Consider the following 18,658-nt stretch of genomic DNA (forward strand, 5'->3'; position numbering starts at 1 on the left):
GTGATGTGATCATAGCTTGCTGCAGCCTTAATCTCCTGGGCTCAACCGATCATGCTGCCTTAGCCTCCCCTGTTACAGGTATTATTTGCTATATTCTTGCAGTTAAGTAAGCTAGAGAAAGAAAATGTTATTAAGAAAATATGTTTACTATTCATTAAGTGAAAGTGGGTCATCGTAAAGATCTTCATCCTTTTCATCTTCACATTGAGTAGGCTGAAGAGGAGGGATTGGTCTTGCTGTCCAGAGGTGCCAAAGCAGAAGACAATCCATGTATAAGGGGATGGGGCAGTTCAAACCCATGTTATTTGAGGGTCAGCTGTCATTTAAATTTAAATATAAAACTGGTATGTGTTTTAAATTCAGTTATTGGAAAACTCTTGAATATGTTGGAACAACTGGAGTATGTAAATCTACCTTTCCAACTGTAAATTCACTTTTTCAACTGCAAATTTTCTAAATACAAAGCAAGTATTTCCAATGAAAATCTAAAGCCCAAATTGATATCTGCTATACTGGATTTATTTTTTTTTTCTTTTTCTTTTTTTCTTTTTTTAGAGACAAGGTCATACTATGTTGCGCAGGCTGGTCTCGAACTCCTAGCCTTGATCCTCCTGCTTCAGCTTCCCAAAGTGCTGGGATTACAAGCATGAGCCACTGTGCCCAGCTGTATACTGGATATCTGAGACTTGGTACCAAAAAAAAAAATAATTAAGAAAGTAAGTTAATATTTTCATATTGATTTCATGTTGAATATTGGGAATATATTGAGTTAAAATGTATTACTAAAATTAATTTCACCTGTTTCTATTTACTTTTTAATGTGTCTATTAGAAACATTTAAATTACGTGGATGGTTCACATTACATTTCCATTGGAAAACATCATAATTTATGAGAAACTTTGCTGTTTGAAATTTTATCAATGAGAATGAAATATCTCACTCCTACTTGAAAGATCTGAGCCATATGGGTCACTTTGACATAGGAGAGTTGCCTCAATTTCCAACCCAGAGCTTCAGATAAAAGGTTTTTAAACTGTAATTTCCAAGGAAACAGGCAATCAGGCTAGCATGTTCCTAACAGAACCTAAAAAAAAAAATGTTTCTAATGAGAGGAGGCCAAGGCCATGTAAAGAATGTTTCTTCTTGGGCTATACAGCCCCTCTCCTTTTGAGTGATTACTGCTCTTTTACCAGTGACATCCCCAGTTCTGCTTTGTTCCTGTCAGCTCCAGAACAAAGATTATTGAGAACTCTCAATTGCTAAACTGCCCCTGCTTCATGACAGCACCATTCCAGAGCTGACCCCTACTTCTCCCCGTCCCTCGTCAGAATCATTCGGCACAAGCCCAAACCCCATGATAAGCCTCTCCCAAGTCTCTCTTGCCCAGAAACCCCAGGACAGCAAATAAACAAACCAAACATTAACTACAAGTGTGTTCCTGGTGGTCTTCATCTGATGGGTTCTATCTGTAAACATACTGAAATGGAGTAAAATTGGTACTTGTCTTAAAATCTTGAAGTTGGAGCCAAAAGTATAACTGAGTACCCCCATTTGCTAAGAGATACAAAATGAGTTATTTTTTAATTATTTTTTTCTGTTTCCTTCTTTTCCCCTGTGCTCCACTTCCTACATAGCTCTTTATACATGTAATTATAATTTTTTACCTCCCCTGCACCAGATGCTCCCTACAGGGCAAGGTCATCTAACTACGTCCTTAGAAGCTTCAGAGCAGAACTCCCACCAGGAGATTCCCTCAAGAGACAACAGTCAATCTACAATCCAAAGTATGCCTACTATGAAACTCTCTCCCACCTGGAGAGTTTCAGCCATTTTACAACCTAGTTCTGCCCACAAAAGGCACCAGCTCCACTGCCCACAGCAGTGGAGGCACCAAATCAAGCTATGCAGATTCCCATCTGCATTTTCCTCTCTGCATGCCATTCATGCCAAGTCCCCCTTTAAAAGTGCCTGCTTCCGGCCGGGGGCAGTGGCTCACGCCTGTAATCACAGCACTTTGGGAGGCCAAAGCAGGCAGATCACCTGACGTCAGGAGTTTGAGACCAGCCTGACTAATATGGTGAAACCCCATCTCTACTAAAAATACAATAATTAGCTGGGCGTGGTAGTGGGCACCTATAGTCCCAGCTACTCGGGAGGCGGAGACAGGAGAACTGCTTGAACCCGGGCAGCGGAGGGTGCCGTGAGCCGAGATCGTGCCATTGCACTCCAGCCTGGGTGACAAAAGCGAGACTCCATCTCAAAAAAAAAAAAAAAAGTGCGGCTTTCTGCTCCAAAAGCAAAGCGGTACCCTTAAAAGCAAGAGCCTGTACTTCTTCCACTAAGCTAGCTTTGGAACAAAGGTCACTTTCTTTATAACAGGCCTCACTCTTAATTGGACTCAGCAAGTGGTGAGTGACTGAGTCTGTCTTTTGGTTACAAAAGGAGCAAAAGGAATCATTCATTCATTCATTCAAGAAATACTGATAACATAAAGGTTGAGAGTGGAGTTTTAGTTTGTCCACCCTGAGCTATAGTCGTGGAGCTGCTCAAATCTTGTTCTCAAACTTCATCTGTAAGGTGGAGATCATATCAACATCTACTTTATCAGATTGTTGTGAAAATTAGTGTGGAGAGGGTGTGGGCTTGGGCCCCACAGACTGGTTCAAATACCAATCTTGCCACGTTTTAATCTATGTGGCCTTGGGCAGGTGACTTAATCTTTCCTGAGCTTTGGTTTCCTCATCTGGAAAATAAAGATTTTCAACAACAACAATAACAACAATGTCCTTGAATTATTACCAGTAGAAACTCTACGTTGTTTTGTGAGTTAACAGGAGAGTAGAAAGAGAAAAAAAAAGAAGAAAGAAAGAAAGAAAAAGAAAAGAAACTATATGCATTTTAATTAAAATGTTGAAAAATAAAGAGCAAGAAGTTTTGCTGTCAACAATTAGTAAGAATGGCCGGGCACAGTGGTGCATCCCTGTAATCCTAGCACTTTGGGAGGCCAAGGCAGGAGGATCACTTGAGCTCAGGGGTTCAAGACCAGCCCAGGCAACATGGCAAAATGCCATCTCTCTACACACACACACACACACACACACACACACAAACAAACACACACACACAATTAGTATGAATGAAAAATTTTAATGTAATTGATCACAACTATAAACTGGTGGAGTCTATGAAGAAAACAAAACATGTTTCCCATCAGGTGTGGTGGCTCATGCCTATAATCCCGGCACTTTGGGAGCTCAAGGCAGCAGACTGCTTGAGTCAGGAGTTCAAGACCAGTCTGGGCAACATGGCAAAACCTCGTCTCTACCAAAAAAAGTGCAAAAAACTTAGTCAGGCATGTCGGTGTGCATCTATAGTCCCAGCCACTCAGGAGGCTGAAGTGGGAGGATGGCTTGAGCCCAGGAGGTTGAGGGTGGAGAGAGCCATGATTGCACCACTGCACTCCAGCCTGGGTGATAAAGCGAGATCCTGTCTCAAAAAAAAAAAAAAAAAAAGATGTTTCCTAATCAGTACCACTTGCTTAAAACATGGATAAGATTTCACTTAATTCACAACATTGTGAGCCATTGCTTTGAATCAGCCTTTTTCCCCACTACATGTTCCTTTTGAGATTTTAACAAAGTAGAACTCATCCAAAGTTTTCTTTATTCATCCATTTATTGCTGCTTTCTTCCACCAATCATCAAAGGCTGTTAATAATTCTTCCCTTAGGAACCATCTGAGAAAGCATAGCAGAAATGCAATAAATATGCTGATTGATATTTTTATTATGTAGATGTTTTACATAGTGACAAATATTTTTATGATGCTGTAAACTCACATAATATGATTAAAAACACTTCTTAATTGAAAATCTCTAAAATTTAAGCTCACACCTCCTAAAACACCTCTGAAAATATGTAAGCACAAAGTTGTTAAATGACAATTATTTAAAAGTTATGTGCACGTGCTGACAAAGCCTGGAACTTACCGTGTGATGTGACACAACTGTATGAACCTTTCTTGTATTTTAATTTCTACTTTGTGTTCTAATAATGGTTTTTGTACAATAAATAATAGCTTAAAAATGACTGCAAATAGCTGAATCTAATTATAAGTCCTCAATGAACGAATTAAATGTTACATTTTCCAGTTATTAAAAAAATATTTTGTTAACATCATTTTCTTTAACATCTGTCCAATTTGTTGTTTTAAACATATTATATATTACAAATCAATCTCTTTTTGTTAGCTATTTTACATTTTCCTATTATAAATAATCCTCTAATTAACATACTTTAAAATGTTGATTTTTGTTGAGGCTGCTTTTTTATATCACTAAAGTATTTCCTCATTTTTAAAGTCTTTATAATGAGGGAGGGGAGTACTGTAATTTTTTAAAAAACTATTTTTAGGCTGGGCATGGTGGGTTACACCTATAATCCCGCAGTTTGGGAGGCCAAGGCGGGAGGATTGCTTGAGCCTCGGAGTTCGAGGCCAGCCTGGCAACATGGCAAAATCCTCTCTCTACAAAAAATACAAAACTTAGCCAGACATGGTGGCATGCACCTGTAGTCCCAGCTACTCAGGAGGCTGAGGTGGGAGGATCACTTGAGTCAGAAAGTTGAGGCTGCAGTGAGCTGTGATCAAGCCACTGCATTCCAGCCTAGGTGATGGGAGTGAGACCCTGTCTCAAAAAACAAACAAACAAAAAATAACAACAAAAAACCAAACAATTTTTAAAAACGGAAAGAAGTAAAAACACCTGGCAAACAATGCAAAATGTATACGTTAGAAAGTGAATCCCCACTTCCCTCCTCACCACTACCATCTCCACCTAACTGTGATCCCTTTCAGGGTGTCCAAGTTTCTGATCATTTTTCAAGAGAGAACCCCAGATGGGGAATTACTGAGTAATAAGGAATCAGATAATTTAGAAATTATAAAAACATTAAAGAAAATCATTGACAACAAAATAGAAAAATTCAAGCTATATATAAATTTATATAAAATAAGAAAAATGGCCAGACGTGGTGGCTCATGCCTGTAATCCCAGCATTTGAGAGGCTGAGGTGGGAGGATCACTTGAGGTCAGGAGTTTGAGACCATCCTGGCCAACATGGTGAAAACCCGTCTCTACAAAAAACACAAAAATTAGGTGTGTTGGCACACGCCTGTAATCTCAGCTACTCCAGAGGCTGAGGCAGGAGAATCACTTGAACCCAGGAGGCAGAGATTGCAGTGAGCTGAGATCATGCCACTGCACTCCAGCCTGGGCAACAGAGTGAGACTCTCTGTCTCAAAAAAAAAAAAAGAGGGAAACATTTGCACAAAAGAAAGATAAAAAAGAACACCAACGGAGTGGGGAAATGAGAGAGCACAGTTAATATTACAGATGGAAGTTTGGTATCTAATATAGATAACTGAAGATACATTTCTCTGGAACATAACTAGTATTCAATGGATAAGTAAATATTTTACAAGGGAGAAGAATGAGAGCTAGGGATGAAATTTATCCTGCCATAAGTCTGCTAGGCCTATGTGATTAATGATTATAGTATCTTATACATTCTTTTATTCAAGATTTATGATTTACGCAAATTTGCTACATAAAGTTTAGATTACATGTAATATACATTAATAGAGATTACATATAGGAACTGTGATTTATTTTAGCAAAATGTTGGAATATATTATTGTTATTATTTTCAAGACAGGGTCTCACTCTCTTATCTGGGCTGAGTGCAGTGGTGCAATCATAGCTCACTGCAGCCTCAAACCTCTGGGCTCAAGTGATCCTCCCACCTCAGCCCTCCTGAGTAGCGGAGACCATGGGCAAGTGCCACCACTCCTGGCTAATTAAAAAAAAAAATTCTATAGAGATGGGGTCTCACTATGTTGCCCAGACTGGTCTCAAACTCCTGGGCTCAAGTGATCTTCCCACCTTGACATCCAAAAATGCTGGGATTATAGGTATGAACCACTGTGCCCAGCCTGGAATATATTCCTAAAAATAGTTTTACTAGATCAAATGACATGATTATTTTTGTGATTCTGATAATGAAAGGTTTGAATAATTTCATTTTCTGAAAAAAATCGTGCTCGTTACTATTGCTTCATCAGGCCAGGTACAGTGGCTCATACTTGTAATCACAGAACCTTGGGAGGCTGAGGCAGGAGGATCACTTGAGCCCAGGAGTTCAAGACCAGTCTGGGCAATGTAGTGAGACCCCATCTCTATGAAAATTAAAATTTAGCCAGTTTTGCTGGAGGGAGAATCACTTGAGCCCAGGAGATTGAGGCTGCAGTGATCCAGCATGAATGACAGAGTGAGGCCCTGTCTCAAAAAAAAAAAAAAAAAAAAGAGTGACAAAATAATATATATGTTGCTTTGTCACTAGTTATTTTTTGTTACTGTTTCCTTCTAGTTATTTTCCAAGTGTTTCTTCTTGGGTAAATTACTTGTTCATCTGTATAAAGTTAAGGATTTATTTAAAATGTGAACATTTTAGCAGATGCTTACATTATGGAAAGGAATTTAATAGTAAATTTTAAAATTGTAAAATTAAGACAAATCAGACCTTTAAAGAGTTACAGTCAGTTTTATTCAGAAGTCTCACTGAGGATTATAACCCGGGAGAGTTTCCTAGAGAATGTCTGTCATACTACTCCAATGCAGCACTTCAGTTCAGTTTTTATACAAGCAGTAAAAATACAGTGTAAAAAAAATTGCAGTAAAGCTTGAATGCAAGAGTACCTTTGGTTCCAGTTTGCAGGGGCATAATCTTGCAACACCTTGGCAGGCTTTGTCTTATGTGTCAGAAAAGGCAAGGACCAAGGTCATTTATCTTTTAAGGAGTGTAGTATCTCAGGCAAGAGACTGGGGAGCTATGTGCTGTATCCCATTTATCATCTTTAAGGCATTCTTTGGAGAGCTGCATTTTTAACAGAGTCAGGGTGACTGCAAAATTATGCTGGCAAGCAAACATGGCTTCTTATGTTTGCTACTCTGTTTCACGAAAGCCAAGATCTACTGCCCGTGGGCATATTTTAACATGAAATGTTTATTAACTATATCTTATAAATATTTATGAGGTAGTGTGTTGAAAAGGAGGTAGTGTTATTTATTTTTAATTAAACTAACTGTTGTTAGAAAAGTATTACATTTGCATAATATCAAGATAAGGATAAAAAACTTGAAGTGAAAAATAAAATCTCCCTCCTCTGCTCAACTATCTCCTCCCCAATCCTTAATTCACTTCCCAGAAATCACCCCTGCTAAGTTTCTGCTTTTAGTTTAACCATACTTACCTACTTCAAGATTTATCAAGTTTACGCAAAATCTATTGATTTTCTACTATGAAAGATTAAGAATTTATCATGACCTACCTACCCCTCCACCTCTGGGCTTATTTGTAGTTTATATTTTTCTTCTTCTTCTTCTTCTTTTTTTTTTTCAGAGACAGGGTCTTGCTTCGTCACCCAGGCTGAAGTGCAGTGGCACAACCATGGCTCACTGCAGCTTCAAACTCCTGGGCTCAAGTGATCCTTCCAACTCAACCTCCTAAGTAGCTGGGACTACAGGTGCGTACCACCACACCCAGCTAATTTTTAATTTTTTCGTAGAGACAGAGTCTTACTATGTTGCCTGGGCTGGTCTCAAACTCCTGGCCCCAGCAATCCTGCCTCAGCCTCCCAAAGTGCTGGGATTACAGATGTGAGCCATTGTATGTGGCTTTATTCACTTTAAACAATGTATTTAAATGTTTAAATGTTGCTTTATTCACTTTAAACAATGTATTTAAATGTTTAAATGTTGCTTTATTCACTTTAAACAATGTGTTAAAATGTTTAATTCTTTATTTATCAAATTTAATATGGATTGAATAACCACAATGAAAGATAAAAATACTTTCTTTCTACTTCTCTTCCATCTGCTTCTCAATTTTTTTAGTTATATTAATATGTGTCTGAATAATATTTATGATATTTGTATTTCTCCCTTTCCACTTCTCCATTCAAGCAAGTAACAGCCTCTGAATTTTATCATATCAGGTAGGTATGGGACAGGGAGGAAAGTGGAATTAGTCTGTGCAATTTTTCCTGGATTTTGTTTTCTGTAAAACTAAATTCACTGAGAAGTGCAGGATTGAAGGGAAGCAGCGTGGTGACTGGGAGATACAGGAGGTGGGGAGAGGCTTCTCCCCTAGAGATTCCATGAGGGTGGGTGGTGGTGAAAAGGTATACAGGATTCAAACATTGCTCCATGGTGGAGCTCCAAGGAGGAGGCTCAGAAGGGTTAGATGTGTTAGATATCTGGGGAAGGAAGGACCCTAGTACAGGGTTCCCAAGCTTAGCTAAGACTCTCATGCCTCACATAGGGCCACAAAAGTCCCAAAAGAGCAAAGATTTGCAGCATGGGAAACAATCATTCGTTGAGGCTCTGTTACCTGGGTACAGAGATCACTCATGATGGGAGGGTCTCCCTTTTCTCTGATGCTTTTGTAACTGTGTGCCATTGACCAGACCAAGGGAGGGCAGAGTAACCCCAGGAATGTCTGTGATTACATTTCCCATCAAGCAGGACCTATGAGGGAGGTATGGGGAGAAAGAGGACATTTCCTAGATGCAGAAATTAAGTTGAAGTATAAAAAATAAGGTGGTATTTCTTGCACACTTGAATTTGTTGAGATTTTACATGCGATTCTTTAATATAATTATTAAATATCCTGAGCTTTGGGTATTGTTATACCTGAAATTGAAAATCAGTAGATAGCACTTATGATAATATGATTGCATAAGTATTATTCACTATAAACAAATATCGTGATTGGACTAAGCTAGAAGGAAACTTAATCTTATGACATTAAAACTTTGCTGCTGAAATCTTTCCTTCGTTTCTGGTTCTACTTAGCTGCCAGCATAATCGCATAACCTGATACCTTAGATTCCTTCTTTTGCACTGAAGAACTTCCTCAAGTCATGCTTTTTCATATCGGGAGCTTAAATGGTATCTTTTTTTACTTCCGAAATGTCTTTGTCTTGTCCTCATGCTTAGTTAATAATAATGCTGAGTTCCAAAAATTTTTTCCTTAGACCTTTGAAGATATTACTCTTTTTTTTCCTATATTCTCACCTACTTTTTGTCCACTGCTGTAACATTGATTAAGGGGGGTTAATTGAAGTCTACCTCTAGGGTATTTCTAGTTCTCCTTGTAACTCCTACAGTTTTTGCTCTGAGTGTTGATGCTGTTATTTGGTGTATAGATTTTTTTTTTTTTTTTGAGACGGAGTCTTGCTCTGTCGCTCAGGCTAGAGTGCAGTGGCGCGATCTCAGCTCACTGCAAGCTCCGCCTCCCGGGTTGACGCCATTCTCCTGCCTCAGCCTCCCGAGTAGCTGGGACTACAGGCACCCACCACCACGCCCGCCTAATTTTTTGTATTTTTAGTAGAGAAGGAGTTTCACCGTGTTAGCCAGGATGGTCTCGATCTCCTGACGTTGTGATCCGCCCGCCTCAGCCTCCCAAAGTGTTGGGATTACAGGCGTGAGCCACCGCGCCTGGCCGGTGTATAGATGTTATAACTTCATTGTGACTATCTAGTTTAATGCTTTTTTCTTTTTTCCTTTCTTTTTTTTTTTTTTTTTTTTTTTTTTTTTTTTTTTTTTTGAGATGGAGTCTCCCTCTGTTGCCCAGGCTGGAGTGCAGTGGCGCAATCTCAGCTCACTGCAACCTCTGCCTCCGGATTCAAACGATTCTTGCGCCTCAGCCTCCTGAGTAGCTGGGACTACAGGCCCGCACCACCATGCCTGGCTAATTTCTTGTATTTTTAGTAGAGACAGGGTTTCACCATGTTGGCCAGGCTGGTCTTGAATTCCTGACCTCAAGTGATCCGCCTGCCTTGGCCTCCCAAAGTGCTGGGATTACGGATGTGAGCCACTGTGCCTGGCCTCTAGTTTAATTCTTTCTTTCTTTTTTTTTTTGGCCCAGATTCTGCAATTATTCTAAGTCTGGCTTTCATTTTTCTCTCAGGCCCCAATTCTCTTATAGCCCACTTCTCCCTTTGAATTTGCTGATGCTGAACCTGGAGCTTATCTGAGGCTTTCTTGGAAAGAACCTGGCTTGTCTTTGGTGTTCTGAGATGCAATTTTTTCTCTTTTGATTTTTCTGGAAATTCAAACCTATCTGTGTTTTTCTTTCCACATAGTTATCAACATTTCTGATATATTGATGATACTCTAATTGTTTTCCACTGTTATGTGTCTGTGCTTTTAAAAAAAATTGTCTTGGTTATTTAATGTGACTTTTAACGCTTAAAAAAGTGGAGATGTATACATTTGTTAACAATGCCATGAAAGCATTTTCTTTCTCCTGAGGAAAAGTGAATTTCTTACCAGAATATCTGGCTGATCCTGTAATTTAAATTAAAATAAAATTTTGGAGAAACAGCAAAACAAATCAACAAACAAAAAACTGTCTTGACGTTTCCGTGGGAGGTATAGAATTAATCATGTGTGTACAGTCTACTGCAGCTTGACCTAGAACCTTTCCTATGAGAGATTCTTAATAATAAGCTCTGCATCTATAGGAATAAAACTTAATTTAGTGGCCCATCCATTTATTTCTTCCCTCTCTGGGTCTTCAACATGCATTATATGTGCACACTAAATCATTTATTCCTTTTTATAATTTTCCTTAGTATTCATTAAGCTGGCGGGGCACGGTGGCGCACATCTGTAATCTCAGCACTTTGGGAGGCCAAAGAGGGTGGATCATGAGGTCAGGAGATTGAGACCATCCTGGCTAACACGGTGAAACACTGTCTCTACTAAAAAAAAAAAAATACAAAAAATTGGCCAGGAGTGGTGGCATGCACCTGTAGTCCCAGCTACTTGGGAGGCTGAGGCAGAAGAATCGCTTAAACTGGGGAGGTGGACATTGCAGTGAGCTGACATCGCACCATTGTACTCCAGCCTGGGCAAAAGAGCGAAACTCCATCTCAAAGAAAAAAAAATTTATTTATATGTATATATATATATAATGAATATATATATATATATAATGAATATATATATATAATGAATATATATATAATGAATATATATAATGAATATATATATAATGAATATATATAATGAATATATATATAATGAATATATATAATGAATATATATATAATGAATATATATAATGAATATATATATAATGAATATATATATAATGAATATATATATAATGAATATATATAATGAATATATATAATATATATATAGTGAATATATATATAATGAATATATATATAATGAATATATATATATATAATGAATATATATATATATATATATATATATATATATTCATTAAGCTATCAATGCTTGGGTTCTCTTTTTTCCCTATCCTGAAAATGTAAAATACTGGAAAGACGTATTTGAATAATGTATCCCCAATGAGCATTAAAAAATTTCAGCATACAGCCAGGCGCGGTGGCTCATGCCTGTAATCCCAGCACTTTGGGAGGCCGAGGTGGGTGGATCACGAGATCAGGAGATCGAGACCATCCTGACTAACATGGTGAAACCACATCTGTACTAAAAATACAAAAAATTAGGTGGGCGTGGTGGCGGGCGCCTGTAGTCCCAGCTACTCGGGAGGCTGAGGCAGGAGAATGGTGTGAACCCAGGAGGCAGAGCTTGCAGTGAGCTGAGATCGCGCCACTGTACTCCAGCCTGGGCTACACAGCAAGACTCCGTCTCAAAAAAAAAAAAAAAAAAATCCAGTGTACAATTTAAGATATATTGTTATTGTTATGTAGCTGTTATAGATTGCCATAATTCTAAAGGGAATTACAGTAATTTATAGTCAGAATACAGTTTATAATGAAAATATACCAGTAAGTTCAAAGATTTGAATAAACTAGTTGCATGTAATTTTATTCTTTCTTTCTTTCTTTCTTTCTTTCTTTCTTTCTTTCTTTCTTTCTTTCTTTCTTTCTTTCTCTTTCCTCCTTTCTTCCTTTCTTTCTCCCTTTTATTTTTTTCGGGGTTTTGCCATGTTGCCCAGGCTGATCTTGAACTCCTGAGCTCGGGCAATCCACCTACCTTGGCCTCCCAGAGTGATGGGGCTACAGGCATGAGCGAGCCCATCAGGCCTATTCTCATGCTTTCTATACATTACCAGCCTCAAGACATTTTACAGCTAGTGGCTAATAATACTTGAAATATCTGCCAACCTAAAATGCAAGGAAAATTAACATAGGCTGTTGTATAGTAGACCATGACATATAAATGGAGATGCAAACCCAGTGCTGAAGCTGTGTCTAAAACAGAATAATAAGATACTCCTGGATTTCTGAAGCTATTTAACTACCCCATTCTCTTCACAAAGCAGAAAGGAAAATAACACTGACAGATGGTACCCAGTGCTACAAAAGACAACAATACTGTCTATTCTAAACAGATACAAAGTAGTGATTTCACGTTTTAAAAAAGACACCAAGAACAGTTTTCACCATTGCTTTTGACCAACTCCTTCTTATCTGCCCTTCAGATAAGGACCCCTTTTATCTGCCCTTCAGAGTGATACCCAAATTCCAGCTCATGGAAAGCCGGTAGTAATCTGGACTCCATCTTCCTCTGAAGCTTTATTTCCTAGTAGTTACTCTCCTGTTGGCCATGTTCTAACCACATTGAGCTTCTTTCTGTCTGCTTATGGACAAGTCAAGTTTCCATTCCCCATACCTTTCTCATGATGTTCATTCTACTTGAAGAGTCATTCCTCCCTCTTGTTGCCTTACACACACTTACTCTTTTTCAAGACTGAATCCGAATAATATCTTTTTGGGGAAAGTCTTACACAAAGAATCAACATTGACCTTTCCAATGTTTAAGAAATATGTTGTGCCTTTATTACCATTGGATTGTGCCATATTTCAGAGATTAAAGTTGGCCTGCTGGGCTTGAACACCATGACTTTTACAAAAATCCTGTGTTTAAATAAAATTCATATTGATGTAGGATTTTTTACTCCTTAGCTCAGCTAGATCCGAGTTATTGTCTCATGACCAGGAAAAATTAGGCACGGGAACATCAAAGAGTGAGTGGAATAGAATTTATTAAGCGAAAAGGAATGATCTCAGCAAAAAGAGCGGTCCTGAAAGCAGGTTGCTGGTTGTCTTCCTTCATAGTTGAACACAAGGGCTTCTATATCCGCTGATGGGGCTGGGTTCCCTATTTGCATAGGGCATCAATTCTTGGTTGGCTCCACCCCATCTTTCCAGTGCGCGTGCGGGTCCTTAGTCTGAGCCACTCCACATTGATTTATTTCCTTACTGCGCATGTGTTAAGGGACGGAATTTTTCATTGCGGGCATGTTTGGGCAAGCCTTCTGTGCACAATGAGCTTGGCGGGTCGGGGGTTCTCCAGGGACCCTCCCCTATCTGCCTAGGAGAGTTCTCTGCCTCCTGCCTCTATCAGTATTCTCATGTCAATGCCAGGCTGCAATCATTTTTTTCTTTATATGCTAAATATACAAGTAGAAAATTATAGAATCAATTTAACTGTAAACATGTAATGTCATTATGTACATGATCTTAAATTATCCTTTTGGAAGATAAGTCTTTTTCTTTTTTAGTAGAAATATTAGGTCCTCTGTTTTCATTGTTAACCACATCAGAATCTGTATTATTACTTTTTATTTTGGAAATCAATTGCAGTACAGCAGGCTTACCATATGGTGGCACCCAAAAGCCCAGAAACCAACATCATGCGGCCCAGTATTAGACATGTGTTCAAAAATGTAGGCAGTCAGCTTTCTAGTAGGTAGCAACAGGAAATAAAGCGTCGTAAGACAGTCATCTTAAGAGGGTGCTGGAAATGTTCTACATTTTTATCTGGGTGGTGATTACATAGGTGTATATGTAAAAATTCATAAAGCTGTATTTTTATTTGTTCATTTTATTATTTGTATGTTGCACAACAATAAAAAAATTTAGGCTGGGCACAGTGGTTCACTCCTGCAATCCCAGCACTTTGGGAGGCCGAAGCGGGCGGATCACTTGAGTCAGGAGTTTGAGACCAGCCTGGCCAACATGGTGAAACCCCGTCTCCACTAAAAATACAAAAATTAGCCGGACGTGGTGGCGCGTGCCTGTAATCCCAGCTAGTCAGTAGGCTGAGGCACTAGGATCGCTTGAACCCGGGAGGCAGAGGTTGCAGTGAGCCGAGATCATGCCATTGCAGTCCAGCCTGGGCGACAGAGCAAGACTCTGTCTCAAAAAAAAAAAAAAAAAAAAAAAAAAAAATTAAATGACTATAAATGAGAACCATTTTATATAAGCCATCTTAAATTTTTCCCTATTAATGAAAACAATAACAACAGATTTTAGAGAGTACTAAATATTAGCAATTTTCCTGCATAGTATGAAACTATTTTATGATAGTTATTTTATTATTTTATTTTTTCTTTTATTATTCCCATTTTACACATGATATAGTTATTTGGGCTCATTTCTATACATTTAAAACATTAAAAAATTGTCAGTTTAAGTTAAAACTGTACCATCAGCGCATAACAGTACAATGGATGAATAAATTATGGGCACAATCACATATTGGAACATTTTTATACAAAAGAAGAATTAAAGAACCACAGCTGCATGCATTGACATGGATAAACTGCCAGGCACGGTAGCCCATGCATGTAATCCCAACACTTTGGGTGGCTGAGGTGGGAGGATTGCTTGAGCCCAGGAGTTTAAGACCACCCTGGGCAACCTAGTGAGACCCTGTCTCTAAAAAAAAAAAAAAAAATTAGCCAGGTGTGGTGGCATGTGCCTGTGGTTCCAGCTACTCTGCAGGTTGAGATAGTAGGATCACTTGAGCCTGGGAGGTTGAGGCTGCAGTAAGCGGTAATCATACTGCAGTACTCCAGCCTGCGCAACAGAGTGAAACCACGTCTCAAAAAAAAAGGACACGTTTTATAAACACAGTGTTGGGTGAAAGAAACAAGTCACAAAGATCACTTACATAGAAACTTTTGTATAAAGTTCAAAAATAGTCAAAATGAACTATATTGTTTATGGATGCATATATAGGTGGCAAGCCTAAAGAAACACCAGACAGAATGATTATCATAAAAGTCAGGATAGTGGTTACCCCTTAAGGGGAAGGAGAATGATGCCATCCGAGGAGAGGAACACAGATGGCTTCTAAGGTACTCGCATAGTCCTTCTATTGCTATATTTCTGGCCTGGCGCGGTGGCTCATGCCTGTAATCCCAGTACTTTGGGAGGCCAAGGCAGGTGGATCACAAGGTCAGGAGTTCGAGAACAGCCTGGCCAATATGGTGAAACCCCGTCTCTACTAAATATACAAAAATTAGCTGGGCATGGTAGTACATGCCTGTAGTCCCAGCTACTTGGGAGGCTGAGGCAGAAGAATCGCTTGAACTGAGGAGGCGGAGGTTGCAGTGAGCCGAGATCATGCCACTGCACTCCAGCCTGGGTGACAGAGTGAGACTCTGTCTCAAAAAAAAAAAAATAAAAATAAAATAAAATAAAAATATACATATTTCTTAACTTGAGTGGTGGTTACACGGGGTCTTACTTTATAATTGCTCTTTAAGTATAAAAGAGGCAGATCTAAAAGTAAAATTCCAACAGTCAGGTATTTTGTAGTCTGGAAAGTCCGTGGTATTACCCTTTAGCCAACTAAAAATTGTCATAGGCCCTTAGAATTATGTGTAAGGTTGCCAGATTTAGCAAATAAAAATACAGAACTACAGTTAATAAATATTCAGGGTTGTGAGTTGAATGTTAACTTCAGATAAAGAACAAGTTTCTAGTATAAGCATATCCTCATGCAATATCTGAGACATACTTATAATAAAAAACAAATCATTGTTTACCTGAAATTCACATGTTACTGGGCATCCTGTATTTTATCTGGTGACCCTAGTTATATGGCAAGTTGCACAAGCAGAAGCAGTTCATGGTGGCCCAGTGTAAGGAGTACCCAGAGGAGGCTCAGGGAAAGGGAAGAGAAGGAAGAAAAATCTTTAAGTAAATTAGCCTGACCCTAAGTTCCTATCTGAATAATTGTGTAAATGAATTTGCTGGCCAGGTGTGGTGGCTCATGCCTGTAATCCCAGCACTTTGAGAGGCCGAGGCAGGCAGATCACCTGAGGTCAGGAGTTCGAGACCAGCCTGACCAACATGGAGAAACCCTGTCTCTACTAAAATACAAAATTAGCAGGGTGTGGTGGCGCATGGCTGTAATCCCAGCTACTTGGGAGGCTGAGGTAGAAGAATCGCTTGAACTCGGGGGGCGGAGGTTGCGGTGAGCTGAGATTGTGCCATTGCGCTCCAGCCTGGGCAACAACAGCGAAACTTCATCTCAAAAAAAAAAAAAAAAAAGAATTTGCTGAGTTCAACCATTATTGCAGTAGTTCATAGTAATGAATCTCCATGATGCATTGAATAATTTATATCAACAAAAAGCAAATGTTTGAAAGAGCCATCAGTGTTTCTCCTTAAAAAAAAACTCTCTCACTGCATCAGCCTCTCTTCTATTTACTTTGGATGAAGATATTGTAGATGATAGTCTTGATGATACTTTTCTATAACTAATTTTTTTTGTAATTTGTAGCCAATGCTTAGAAGTGAAGTTGCAAGGTAGGTTGTTTTGTTTTTCTTCTGCTAATACATGTATTCTCCTGATCATGTACCAGGAACTGACTTAGGCCCAAAGGACAGGATAATGTATGATACCGACACAGTCCCTTCCTATGGAGCTCAGAATCTAGGCCCTAGAAGACTGTAACGTGTGTGTGTGTGTGTGTGTGTGTGTGTGTGTGTGTGTGTGATGCACTTGGTAAAGCATTATCTAGCAACAGTGAATATCTGTTGTTTGTTGCATAGCATCCCACCTTCTTTTGGGAAACCATCCAGACTCCATTCTGTTATTTGGTTTAGGTGAAATTGACCACAAATCAATCACTACCATTGATGAAGATTGATTCAAGAATGGTCGTATAATCCAGTAAGAACTGATGAATGCCTGAGAGCCAATAAATAAAGACTTCTGGAAAAGAGAGGCATTCATTCTTGCCTTTGAGCTTTGCAAGGTGGTAAAGCTTGGTAATAGTCGCCATATAGCTAACTTGAGTGGAGCCATCAAGGTAACCAAGGCTGTCAGACACCCCCAGAGAGAATCATTCACATGTGCAAAGGATGAACTCAACACCCAGAAGAAGCATCCTAGTGACATTGGGCAGCTCTGATTCAAGAGGAACCTGAAACTACTCACAGAATTCATTGAAATTGAGCCAATAAATTCATTCATTTCTTAGGGCGGCTTCAGTTTTCTGTCATTTGCAGCATAAAGATCTGGTGTAATAAAAGTCTAGGAGGAAATAAAAGATTTCTTTCCTATTCTCAACCTCCGGTTTCATCTCCTAGAGATAATCACTGTTTCTTACAGACATATGTTTGCAAACATGTATCTAATGTATGCCTTTTAATGCAAATAGGATTGTATTAAATATATAGTTCCACCACTTGCTCTTTTAAACTTATGTTGTATTATGGGCATCTTCCTTTGTCAACATATAGATCTACCACTTTTTCTTTATAGTTGCATACAATTCTATAAATTAGATGTATCATCAATTTAATCTCTTCCTTTGATAGAAATTTAGTTTTTCCTCAATTTTTTACTTTGACAAACATTACCTTTATACGTATATCTTTGTGCACTTGTGCAGCTATAAAAGGAAAAAAAAATCCTAAAAGTGAAAGTGCTCAAAGAGAATGTGCACTTAAAATTTTTGGCCTCCAGAATTATTACAGCAATTTATACTCTTTTCAGAAACATGAGGCTACGTTTCCTAGTGCTGGTAAAACTGTGTTTGATAAACTTCAGAAAAGTTTGCCAGTACGATAATGAAAAGCAGTATTGTTTTCTTGATTTGCATTTGTTTAGTGAGTGCATATATATATATACACGTGGAGACATACATGGAGCGACACATACATATTTAGGCTATTTTATAACTTCATTAACTATTTTAATGTAAATTTTTTATTCATATCCTTAGTTGATTTTTCTGTTGGGTCATTTATCTTTTCCTCATTTATTTGTCTTTATATATTAAGAAAATAGATTCTTTTCTCATACGTATTTTGAATATTCTTTTCAGTTTTGTTGTTTGTCTTTTTGGTAATTTATTTCTGAATTTCTTTTTCTATTAAATGTTCTAAGTAGAGAAAAAACAGGAGAGGATTATATAATGAGCACTCATACAGCCACTACCTAGTTTTAACATGTTGTCATTTTGTAATATTTGCTTCAGCGTTTTTTTTAAAAGAAAAAATGTTGCAGATACAACTGAAGTTCTTTCATACCCTCTCCAATTCCATTCCTTTCCACCCCTCCCCAGAATAACTAGCATCCTGAAGGAAATGTGCCTGTGTTTTTGGAAACCCTTTATACCCCTCAAATACCCCTCACATGAACTATTTAAATATTTTCCTTTGTCTTTCAGGAAAAAAAAAAAGAAAATGTTAAAAAGACAGAAATAACAAATGGGGCCAGGTGCAGTGGCTTATGCCTGTAATCCCAGCACTTTGGGAGGCTGAGGTGGGAGGATCATCTAAGGTCAGGAG

General features: G+C 38.5%; 1 long non-coding RNA gene across 1 annotated transcript; it reads left to right on the top strand.

The window, feature by feature from the left end:
• The first annotated feature begins 146 nt into the window (after positions 1–146).
• Positions 147–17,432, top strand: LOC107984708 (uncharacterized). Its single transcript, XR_001750768.2, has 3 exons — positions 147–716; positions 7,459–7,582; positions 16,967–17,432. It is a non-coding gene; the product is annotated as an uncharacterized LOC107984708 (long non-coding RNA).
• The last annotated feature ends 1,226 nt before the right edge of the window (positions 17,433–18,658 follow it).

Source organism: Homo sapiens, chromosome 14 (genome assembly GCF_000001405.40).
Source record: "Homo sapiens chromosome 14, GRCh38.p14 Primary Assembly".
Classification (NCBI taxonomy): Eukaryota; Metazoa; Chordata; class Mammalia; order Primates; family Hominidae; genus Homo; species Homo sapiens.